Consider the following 12,212-nt stretch of genomic DNA (forward strand, 5'->3'; position numbering starts at 1 on the left):
TCCTCTAGGCAACGGTACATATGTTGCACTGCAAAACAAAACACGCTAATGTTGCATAATGAAGTGGTTCCCAGGATTTAGCAGATTAAGCGCCACGTCGTGTTTTAAAATTTATTTATTTAGTTTGGAGACGGAGTCTTATTCTGTTGCCCAGTCTGGAGTACAGTGGTGCGATCTCAGCTCACTGCAGCCTCCGCCTTCCAGGCTCAAGTGATTCTCCTGCCTCACCCTCCCAAGTAGCTGGGATTACACAGGTGCCTGCTACGACATCCAGCTACTTTTTTATTTTTAGTAGAGATGGCATTTCACCATGTTGGCCAGGCTGGTCTTGAACTTCTAGCCTTAAGTGATCCAGCCACCTCAGCCTCCCAGAGTGCTGGAATTACAGGTGTGAGCCACCATGCCCAGCCAAGCTAATTTTTTTTAACTTTTAGTAGAGACAGGGTTTCACCATATTGCCTGGGCTGGTCTTGAACTCCTGACCTCAAGTTATCCACCTGCCTTGGCCTCCCAAAATGCCCATGCCTGGCTCCATGTTGCTTTTAAATTTTTAATTTTTTTAAAGTACTCCTTTCCTACAACTTAATTGTGGCATGCATTTTCACCTACTATCTGAGGTGGGTCACTAGATTAGGTCCCTGGTTCCCAACTCCTGAGGGTTCCAATATTTTCCCACTGGTAAAATCTCTATTATGAGGCAGCCCCATCCCCCAAAATTCAGATTGTCTCCATTTTCGTTATTATCTAATAAGAAAGTGACTTATTTTCAGGGCCACGTCTTACATCAGTCTTAGCTGTTACCATTTTGATTTGTGTTGTTTCATACAGCTGGGGATGTGGAGTGTAGAGATCTTGATCACCCTGGCCTCCATACAGGAGAAGAGTATGTTTTTGAAAAGTTCTAAGGCCGGATGCAGTGGCTCGCGCCTGTAATCCCAGCACTTTGGGAGGCTGAGGCAGGTGGATCACCTGAGGTCAGGAGTTCAAGACCAGCCTGGCCATCATAGTGAAACCCCATCTCTACTAAAAATACAAAAATTAGCTGGGCATGGTGGCAGATGCCTGTAATCCGAGCTACTTGGGAGGCTGAGGCAGGAGAATCGCTTGAACTTGGGAGGCAGAGGTTGCAGTGAGCCGAGATGGCGCCACTGCACTCCAGCCTGGACGACAAGAGTGAAATTCCATCTCAGAAGAAAAAAAAAGAGTTCTAGTAGACTGGATCAATAGAAATTTTAGTATGATGTAGTTAAAATAATTCAAAATCAAAATGTTGCTACTTACATAGCATAACTGAATTTGGAGCTAGAAAAAGGCAATTTTAAAAGACTATTAATAATAATAGGAGAGATAAATCTACCCATAGACAATTATAACATTTCTGTGCCAAGTCCAGAGCCAACAGAAAACATCAGAATCTTTTAGTCTTATAAAAACTCTGCAAACCAGCATGTTTATGTTAGTGTTCTTGCTAGTTTAATTTTCTTTCTTTTTTAAAAAAAAATTATTTTAGGTTCAGCGGTACTCATATAGGTTTGTTATATAGGTAAACTCGTGTCATGGGGGTTTATTATACAGAGTATTTCATGACCCAGGTACAAAGCCTAGTACCCAAAAGTTATTTTTTTCTACTCCTCTCCCTCCTCCCACTCTCCACCCTCAGGTAGGCCCCAGTGTCTGTTGTTCCCCTCTCTGTGTCCATGTATTCTCATAATTTAGCTCCCACTTCTACGTGAGAACATGCAATATTTGGTTTCTATTCCTGTGTTAGTTTGCTAAGGATAATGGCCTCCAGCTCCATTCATGTTCCTTCAAAGGACATGATCTCATTCTTTTTTATGGCTGCATGGTATTCCATGGTGTATATGTACCACATTTTCTTTATCCAGTCTACCATTGATGGGCATTTAGGTTGATTCCATGTCTTGGCTATTGTGAATACTGCTGTAGTGAACATATGTGTGTATGTGTGTTTATGATGAAACAATTTATATTCTTTTGGGTATATACCCAATAATGGAATTGCCGGGTCACATTGTAGTTCTGTTTTTAGCTCTTTGAGGAATTGCCACAGTGCTTTCCACAGTGGCTGGACCAGTTTGCACTCCCACCAACAGTTTGTAAGCATTCCCTTTTCTCTGCAACCTGGCCAGCATCTGTTATTTTTTGGCTTTTTAATAATCGCCATTCTGACTGGTGTGAGAAGGTATCTCATTGTGGTTTTCATTTGCATTTCTCTAATGATTGGTGATATTGAGCATTTTTTCATATGCTTCTTGGCCACACATATGTCTACTTTTGAGAAGTGTCCATGTCCTTGCCTACTTTTTAATGGGGTTGTTTATAATTTTCTTATTAAAATGATTTTCCCTCATTTTTGCTGGAAATTTCGAAGTGTTGTAGTCTCTATTTCTGCTTATCAATACTCTATGTTGATCATAATTGTATATGTTTTTTCTCAGTGATTGAGAATCTTGGATTGATTATGATTTGGAACCCAGGTTAACAATGTAATTTAGTGTTAGCAGTCTTAAGGGCAATGCAGCTAAATTTTATGTATCCAAAAACACATCATAGGAACTGTTTCTGAAATAATTCTCACTCTCAGCGTAGTTTTTCATAATGTTTTTATGATAGTGGAATTGTTTTTACTGAAAGTGAAATTTAACAAAAGATACCATTTATGTGAAGGTTCTTATAAGTAGAGGTTACTGTAGGTCATCTATACAATTGTTGGCATTGACTACAAAAAATGATTATTAGGTTAGCATTTTTTGGATATTAGAATCAAGTATGTTATGAACTCAGACTTTTGATGCTGCACTTTATTCTTCTTGTTTTTTCCTGAAACAGTATACAGAAGATGAAGCTAGGAAAATAGGAGTGGTTGGCTGGGTGAAGAATACCAGCAAAGGCACCGTGACAGGCCAAGTGCAGGGGCCAGAAGACAAAGTCAATTCCATGTGAGTAGTAAAATTAATAACATGTACATGAAATTTATGAGGCTGCTGTTTTTTAGTTTTTTAAGACATGGTCTTGCTCTGTTGCCCAGGTTGGAGTGCAGTGGCACAATCTCGGCTCACTACAACCTCTGCCTTCCAGGCTCAGATCTCCCCGACTCAGCCTCCCAAGTAGCTGGGACTACAGGTGTGAGCCACCGTGCCTGGCCTTATAAGGCTACTTTAATGTTTCATTGGACAGTAAGAATAGTATTGATGGACCAGATTTTGTTTGTAGATTACAATCAAACTAATATGTTTGTAGGCAGGCCTGTGAAGAAATTCTCAGAGTTGGGAGTAGCATTTCTATGTTTAGGAATGGACTTCCCACTTGGGCTGGCCTCGAGAAGAATTGTGGCTTCCCTCTCCAATTTGTATGTCCTGTGGCATCTCCTCCAGCGTTAGGGAGATGTCCAGGGCCCAAGTAATTCTCATTTGAAGTGTTGTGACAGATGCGTAGTGCCTTAGGATGGTTCGTGAAGTTCTTAGGGTAGCGTTCCAGGCAAAAAGATTGCCATCTCCTTTTTACAGTTAAGTGCTTTATTTATCTAATTGTAATTTTATTTTTCCTGCCAATGAGAGTGTGTTTAATGAGCTGGAGGGTTACCAAACTATGAATCCTTGAAGTCCAAGAGAGGCCAGATTCAGTAATATGGGGAAAAATGTCCTGTGTACACAATGACGTTTTCAAAAGCCTTGTGTTTTCAGCTTCATAATTTCCACTGCTCTTTGTAGTCTTTTTTCTTTTAAATTAAAAAATAGCTAACATTTATTGAGCATTTACATGTTGGGCAATATGCTAAGTACCTTGTATGAATTATCTCAATCTTCACAACAGATCTTATGAGGTAGGTACTAAGTAACACTCAATTTATTTTATTGTTTGCAATTTATCTTTGTTTTCATTACTTAATATTTTTAGATTTCCAAAGCAATAGGTTTTGCTTATTGTAATAAGTGAAGTAACGTAACACTGAGAAGTATAAAGGTAAAACTTGTAATGTGTACTTTTCTGTCTATTTCCCTCCCCTTTATTAACCTCTGACAAGGAATACTTTCTACAGCTTTCTCTTTCACTTAAAAATAGTTAAGTATGCATTTGTAATTAAGGTTTTGCTGATTTTTACCGAAATAGAATACCTTGTGCATATTTTTCCATAATTTGTATTTTTATTTTCTGGACATTTCAGTAAACAGTAAATATATAATTATCAACTCCTTATTTTTCTAATTTTAAATGTTTACGTGCATACTTGTGTTTGTGTGTAAAACTACACCTCAAATTGAAAAGTGGGGTCCAAAAGTTCAGTTTCACAAACTGTGGGGTGACAGTTAATGAAAAACAATATTTTTAAGTAGAATTGTCACAAAATGTACAAGAAATTTTGGGACTTTCGTTGTACAGAACTGATAGTTCAATGGAAGAGAAAATGCCAAATGATTGTGTGGAAGTTTTAAAGTAGAGATTATGTCCCATGATTCGAGGGAGCCTAGAAAAAAATAATAATATAGTTTTTAAAAACGGGGAGTATGTGGAAGATAGAAGCTCATACCAATCATGTCATATTCCTAATCCACATTATAGAGGGTCATTGATTAATTTGCTTAACATAAATGAAATCGTATCATACACTGTGCTCATGTTTTCTTTTCAACCCCTGCATTCTCCACCCTTCTTAAGTAACCTGTGTTAGCAAGCTAGTGTGTATTCTTCTGCTTGTCTCCATGTTCACATTCTCTCTCTCACACACACACACACACACACTTGCACACACACACTTTTATGGATTTTGTTCAATATTTGCTTTTTAAAAATGGGATCACGGTGTATTCCCTTCTCTGCATCTTACTTTATCACTCAAAGATACATCCAGGAAAATCCTTTCAAGTCGAATGGTAATCTCTAATTCATTCTTTTTATTGGCTACTTAATATTCCACAATATATAGATTTATTATTACCTTATTGCTGGAAATGCATTTTTTTCTGTCTTGTTTTTTGCAATAAGAGCAATGCTGCAATAAAATTTTATTGGTGATTTTATTTTGATTGCATAGGTTCCCAGGAGTGTGATTTGTTGGTTGAAGTGGCTATGTATTTTTAATGTAAAAATATTTGTCAGACTGCTTTACAAAACAGCTGTAAACAATTTACATTGTTTTCCTCCTCATCCTGTCAGCAATTGGTATTGTACTCTCTAATTTTTCTTTTACCTGATTGGTTGTGAGTGATTATTATTTTTTGCTGTAATTTGCATTTCTCTAATGACTAGTAAGTTGGAGCATCTTTATGCTTATGTCTGTGAATTTGTTCTCATGAACTCCCTTTTCACATCCTTTACCCATTTTTCTATCGAGTTGCTTGTCTCTTGCCAATTTTTAAAAGCTCTTTGTATATTGGTTATGGTTACTAACCCATTATCTGTTATTGCTTTTGCAGGTATTTTCCCAAATCTATAATTTGCCTATTGGTTTCGTCTATGATAGCTTTGCAACATAAATTGTTTTTCATTTTTATTAACTCAAATATGGCTATTTTTTTCTCTCTGGTTAAGAAACAGATTGTAAGTGTTGTCGCCCAGGTTTTCTTCTAACTTGATGCTCTATTTATTACATTTAAGCATTTACTCCATCTGGAATTTGTTTTTTATTTAAAAGATGAGATATTGGACCAACTATTTTCTACCAGATGAATAGCCAGTTGTCCTGGCGCCACTTACTAAATAATCACTCTTTCCCCCATTGCATTGAAATACATTTTTGTCATACGTTAAAATCTCATATAGACTGGATTTTATTTCTGAATTCTCTATTCTGTTCCACTGATCTATTTCTCTGTTCCTACATCAGTATACCATATTGATTTAATTATACTATCTCCACAGTATATTTCCTCTCACTGTTCTTTTTGATTCTTTTATTTGCTTTCTTGGGCATTTGTTTCCTCTCTTAACTTTAAGATACTTTTACCTATTTAACTGGAATTCTATTCTGTTTATTAAAAAGAAAACTTACATGATTGTGTCACACATATGCTTTTAAGATAAACTTTATGTATTTATTTATTTTTTGAGACAAGGGTCTTGCTCTCTCTCCTAGGCTGGAGTGCAGTGGTCTGATCTAGACTCACTGCAGCCTTGACCTTCTGGGCTCAAGTGATCTTCCCACGTCAACCTCCTGAGTGCACATGCTGGCTAATTTGTGTGTGTGTGTGTGTGTGTGTGTGTGTATATTTTGTTGTTGTTGTTGTTGTTGTTGTTGTTGTTGCTTTGTAGAGATAGTGTCTCACTATGTTGCTCAGGCTGGTATAGGACTCTTGGCTTCAAATGACTTTCCTGCCTCAGCCTCCCAAAGTGCTGGGATTACAAAAATAAACTTTATTTTTGAGAACAGTTTTATATTTACAGAAAAATTGTGAAGATAGTACAGAGACTTTCCATATACTCCCCACACAGTTTTCCTCCTATTAACATTTTACATTAATATGATACGTATGTTAACAATTAATGGACCAATATGGATACATTAGTATTAACTAAAATCCCTATTTATTTAGATTTCAATTTTTACCTAATGTCCATTTTATGTCTTAGGATCCCATTATTGTATTTGCTTTTTAATTGGGCATTCTCTTGAAATTAAGAGAAGTGACATTTTGGCTGGGTGCAGTGGCTCATGCCTGTAATCCCAGCACTTCGGGAGGCTGAGGCGGGCGGATCACTTGAGGTCAGGAGTTCAAGACCAGCCTGTCCAACACAGCGAGATCGTGTCTCTACAAAAAATACAAAAACTAGCTGGGGTTGGTGGCACACGCCTGTTGTCCCAGCTACTTGGGAGGCTGAGGCAAGAGAATCGCTTGAGTCTGGGAGGCAGAGGTTGCAATGAGATGAGATTGCACCACCGCACTCCAGTCTGGGCAATGGGAGTAGCCTGTCCCAAAAAAAATAAAATAAAATAAAAATAAAGACAGAAGTGACATTTTTATGATATTAAATCTTCCCATTTAAGAACACACAGATGTTGTTCCATTTGCTTAGATTTTAAAATTTATCCTTCAGTATGATTTTATGGTTTTCTTTATATAGGTTTTTGTACTTTTCTTGCTAAGTTATTTCTAAGTATCTTAATGACTTTTTCACTATTGCATATGGATTTCTTTCCCATTTATGCTTCTAGTTGTTCATGCTTAAATATGGAATATCTAATGACTTTTGTGTATTAATTAGATATCATAGTATTACCTTATCAGATATTCTTATTAATTCTATCAGTTTTTTAAAAAACTATAGTCTATTGGGTTTTTAAAAAATACAGTTATGCAATTAGTAAAAATGGTGTATCTTTGTTTCAGTGACTTCATTTGTCAGACCTGCCATGACAATGTTGAATAATAATAGCCATAGCAGGCATGCCTGTTTGGTTTCTGACTTTATTTAAAATAGTTTTATTGTTTCACCTAGTAAAAAGATGTTTGCTGTTGGTTTTAGGTAAATATACTTTATCACAATAAATTTTACTTTTGCATTCCTTGAATTAGCCTTTGATTGGTTACAGTGTGTTATTCTTTTAAATTATTGCTGAATTGCCAAGTATTGCTTGCCAATATTTTATTTAGAACTTTTGTATATATATAAGTCACGTAAGGTTTTTGTTTTGTTTTGTTTTGTTTTGGTGGAGTCTCGCTTTGTTGCCCACGCTGGAGTGCAATGGTACGATCTTGGCTTACTTCAACCTCTGCCTCCTGGGTTCAAGCAATTCTTCTGCCTCAGCCTCCCGAGTAGCTGGGATTACAGGCATATGCCACCACTCCCAGCTAATTTTTGTATTTTTAGTAGAGACAGGGTTTCACCATATTCGCCAGGCTGGCCTCGAACTCCTGACCTCATGATCTGCCTGTCTCGGCCTCCCAAAATGCTGGGATTACAGGCATGAGCCACCATACCCAGCCGGTTTTTTTTTTTTTTTTTTTTTTTTGGGGGGGGGGTATTCTATCATGTTTTGATTTTAAAGTTTTATTGGCTTCACAAAACATATTAGGAAGTTTTCCATCCTTCTCTTCATTCTGGAATAACTAAAATATCAGAATTACTGTTCTTAGGTTAGTGGAAACAAATTAGGAAATCACCTGGTCCTGCTGCCTTCTCAATGTTGACCTTTAACCACCTTTTCAATCTACCCTGTGGTAACTGGTATGTTTGTTTTTTGAGAAAACGTTTTGCTCTGTCACCCAAGCTGGAGTGCAATGGCACAATCACAGCTCACTGCAGCCTTGACCTGCTGGGTTTAAGTGATGCTTCCATCTCAGCCACCCAAGTAGCTAGGAATACAGGTATGCACCACCATGTCCAACTAATTTTTAAAAATTTTTTTGTGGAGGTGAGGTCTCATTACGTTGCCCAGGCTGGTGTTGAACTTCTGAGCTCAAACGATCCTCCTGCCTCGGCCTCCCAAAGTGCTAGGATTACAGGTGTGAGCCACTGCACCCAGCAAGTAACTGATATAGTTGAGTTTTCCAGATGTTCTTGGATTCCTTTTTATTTTGCTAGGAAATTATCCAATTTTTCTAGGTTTTCAAATTTGTTGCGATAAATTTTATAATTTAAAAAATCTCGGCCGGTGCGGTGGCTCACGCCTGTAACCCCAGCACTCTGGGAGGCTGAGGTGGGCAGATTATGAGGTCAGGAGTTTGAGACCAGCCTGGCCAACATGGTGAAACCCCGTCTCTACTAAAAATACAAAAATTAGCCAGGCGTGGTGGTACACACCTGTAATCCCAGCTACTTGGGAGGCTGAAGCAGGAGAATCGCTTGAACCCAGGAGCCAGAGGTTGCAGTGAGCCAAGATCATGCCACTGCACTCTAGCCTGGGCTCCAGAGCAAGACTCTGTCTCAAAAAAAAAAAAAAAAAATCTCTTTTGCATCTGTGCTTATATGCCCTTTGAAAATTCCTAATCTTGTAGAACTTCATTTTCTCCTCCTTTTTCCTTAATCAAGCTCTGACAGAATTTATCTACTTAATTGGTATATTTTTAAAAAACAGCTTTTAGATTTATTGATTATAATTTTTGGGAGGGTTACATTTCATTAATTTCAACTTCCATCTTTATTAATTTCCTCTTCTTTCTTTGTTTGTTGCTCCTCTAAGTCTTCAACATGAGTCCTAGTTGCCGTTGTTTTTAGTTTTTTAAAGTTAATAATGAAGGTGATTAGGCATTTTCTCCTGAATACAGTTTTTTTCTTTTCCATTGGTTTTGGTAGTAATTGTTCCTTCCTTGCTTTCTGGATAGTTTGTAATTTCATTTTTTATTTCTTCTTTGAACTAATACTGTAACTAATGGGATTCTGAGTTTGTGTTTGTAAAATTCCCAGTTAAAACTTTTAAAGTAATTGTTTATTATTTATTTCTATTTTTATTTGATTATAATCTGAGAACGAGGCCTAGAAGATTTCTACTTAAAAAATTTTGTTAAATCCTTGTGATAAATGACATGATATATTTTGGATTGATCAGCTAGGATCTATGATTAAATTAGGATGCTTTAGGCTGCAAGTAACAGGATACCTGATTAAAGTGCTTGAATGAAGGAACTGATTTTTCCCACTTTCCAAACAGGCTGGGGCAAGCAGTCCTAGGATTAGTTCAGTGTGCGAAAGATTATTAAAATGTACATTTTGGTGTTGCTATACTTTTCTCTTTTTATATTTTTTTATGATGGGATTTTCAAACACATACATGAATAGAGAAAAAAGGACAGTGAAGCTCATGTGCCCATTACCCACTTTCAATAACAGTATGCTTTCAGACATTCTTGTTTCATATATTCCTCCAACTTTTTTTTTGTCATTGTTAGAGTATTTAAAGCAAATTTCCGGCATTATATTATTCACCTGTAAATTTGGTCAAATGATATTAAACTATCAATACTTGACAATATTTTAATCTATAAAACAACAATTTCATGTTGTTCAATCTAATGTTTGACTATATACAGAAAACAGAAACTCTATATATCCATCAATATGTATTCCAAATCCCACACAGATCTATGTGCAAATGTCAAAGTGCATCACACAACCTGTCTGTCATGCTTTTTCCTGGAGGCCTGTCTTCCAGTCTGGGTCTGGGTTTGCTACACAACTGTCACTCTGGTGTTGCTCTTCGCTGCTTTCCTGTAGAGCAGGCTCCTGTGTCCTTAATCATATGTTTTAATCATTCTTGATTTATTCTCTTATTTTGCAGAAACATAATTCTCTATAAGCTTCCGAAGGAAAGGTGCATGAGAGGCAAAAAGTTTGCATCTCTGCATGCCTTCATTTACCCTTGTGCTTGACTGATTGACTTACAAAATTCTATGCCAAAAATAATCTCACACTAAGAATTTTGAAGGCATAGTTCCATAACTTACAGTGTTGCTGTTGAGAGGTTTGATGTCATTCGAATACAAAGGATTGGGAGTTATACCTGTTTATTCCCTCAGAAAGTTTGTCAGATATTCCACTTATCTCTCTTCTCCATTTTCACAACCATCTGCCTTTGTGCATGTTTTAATTTTGCTGTAAATGCACTTGGAGGAGAATGTTTTTTCTTTGACAATTTCCTTCCCTATCTCTTTTGGACCCTCTTCTTTTAGAACTTCTGTATGGACCTGATCCTCTATTTTTTTTTTTTTTTATTACAGACTGGATTTTACCCTGTTGGCCAGTCTGGTCTTGAACCCCTGGCCTCAAGTGATCCGCCTGCCATGGCCTCCCAAAGTGCTGGGATTACAGGTGTGAGCCACCATGCCCGGCCCCTGATTTTAAACTTTTCTCACCTAGTTTCCATTTGTTATTATGTGGGAAATTAGCTCAACTTTGTCTTCCAACCTTTCTATTATTTTTGTTTGTTTCTGCTGCTCTATCTTAATTGTTTCTCTTTCATAGCATCTCATTCTTGTTGTTGTTTTCCCCAAATCTCTCTGAGGATATTATGTGTATCTTTCTTTTCAAAGTATTCTTCTGATTTTTGCATTGTCTCTTTTTTTTTTTTTGAGACAGAGTCTTGCTCTGTTGCCCAGGCTAGAGTGCAGTGGCATGATCTCGCCTCACTGCAACCTCCACCTCCCAGGTTCAAGCAGTTCTCCTGCCTCAGCCTCCTGAGTAGCAGGGATTACAGGCATCCACCACCACACCCAGCTAATTTTTGTATTTTTAGTAGAGATGGAGGTTTCACCATGTTGGCCAGGCTGGTCTCAAACTCCTGACCTCAGGTGATCTGCCAGCCTCAGCCTCCCAAAGTGCTGGGATTATAGGTGTGAGCCACCGTGCCTGGCTGCTTTTTGCATTGTTTCTATTTCTTCTAAGTTACTTTTCTTTTCTTTCTCTTCTTCTTTCCATTTTTCTCCTGTTTGCTTGTTTTGCTTATCTTTTATATTGCCGGCTTTCCTTACAATCATATTTTCAGTAACTTAGTCATACATAAATCAAAACAGCCAACAATAAGCAGGACTTAAGGAAATTTTCCAATATGTAGACTTATGGGCTTGAGGAATGGTGGTGACTGGGTGGGGAACTGGCATTTTTGTTAGTGAATCTCCAAATGTCAGATCTATGCGTTCTGTCTTCTGCAGTGGTGTCTCCAAATCCTGAGTCTTCTGTGAGGTCCATGGGGGTAAGCTGACTTGCTTCTCATTATTTCTGTAGGCACTTAGTCTGTAACATCCTTTGGTTTACTGTATAGTTACTCCTTCTCCACTTGCTTTCCTTCTTTCTTTTTGTTTTTAGGCAGGATCTTGCTCTGTTGCCCAGGCTGGAGTGCGGTGGCTCAGTCATAGCTCACTGCAGCCTTGATCTCCTGGGCTCAAGTGATCCTCTTACCTCAGCCTCCCGAGTAGCTAGGACTGCAGGTGTGCACCACCATACCTAGCTAATTTTTTAATTTTTTGTAGAGACAGGGTCCTACTATGTTGTCTATGCTGGTCTTCAACTCCTGGCCTCAAGTGATCCTTCTGCCTCGGCTTCCCAAAGTGTTGGGATTACAGGCGTGAGTTACCACACCTGGCCCCTCTGTTTTCCTACTAATTATTTGTTGAAACCTCTTGTTTAGGTTATAGTTTTGTACCAGCTAGGAATATTTTCAGCTATAAGTTAACAGAAAACTGGACTTAAAAATGGATATAAAAAAAGGGTTCATTTTTCTCAGTAATAAGAAGTTTGGAGGCAGATGGTTACTGGCCTTA

The 12,212-nt window shown here is 37.7% G+C and overlaps 1 protein-coding gene across 6 annotated transcripts in view, besides 1 other annotated feature; it reads left to right on the top strand.

Moving 5' to 3' along the window:
- The window catches only part of ACYP2 (acylphosphatase 2), a 334,188-nt gene that overhangs the window by 164,676 nt on the left and 157,300 nt on the right, over positions 1 to 12,212 (top strand). For 5 of the 6 annotated variants that reach the window (NM_001320586.2, NM_001320587.2, NM_001320589.2 and 2 more), the window contains one exon: positions 2,851 to 2,960. In NM_001320586.2, coding sequence (NP_001307515.1) covers positions 2,851 to 2,960 — 110 coding nt within the window. Of the gene's footprint in view, positions 1 to 2,850; positions 2,961 to 6,094; positions 7,529 to 12,212 lie in introns of those variants that run through there. The other variant, NM_001320590.2, reaches the window with a different exon arrangement.
- Positions 8,064 to 8,358: a silencer, noted in NCBI's record as "tiled region #3084; K562 Repressive non-DNase unmatched - State 11:FaireW". NCBI's record gives its function as "represses a minimal TATA promoter and a strong SV40 promoter by Sharpr-MPRA in K562 cells {active_cell/tissue: K562}" and the evidence as "EXISTENCE:reporter gene assay evidence [ECO:0000049][PMID:27701403]".

The sequence above is a fragment of the Homo sapiens genome, chromosome 2 (genome assembly GCF_000001405.40).
Source record: "Homo sapiens chromosome 2, GRCh38.p14 Primary Assembly".
NCBI lineage: Eukaryota > Metazoa > Chordata > Mammalia > Primates > Hominidae > Homo > Homo sapiens.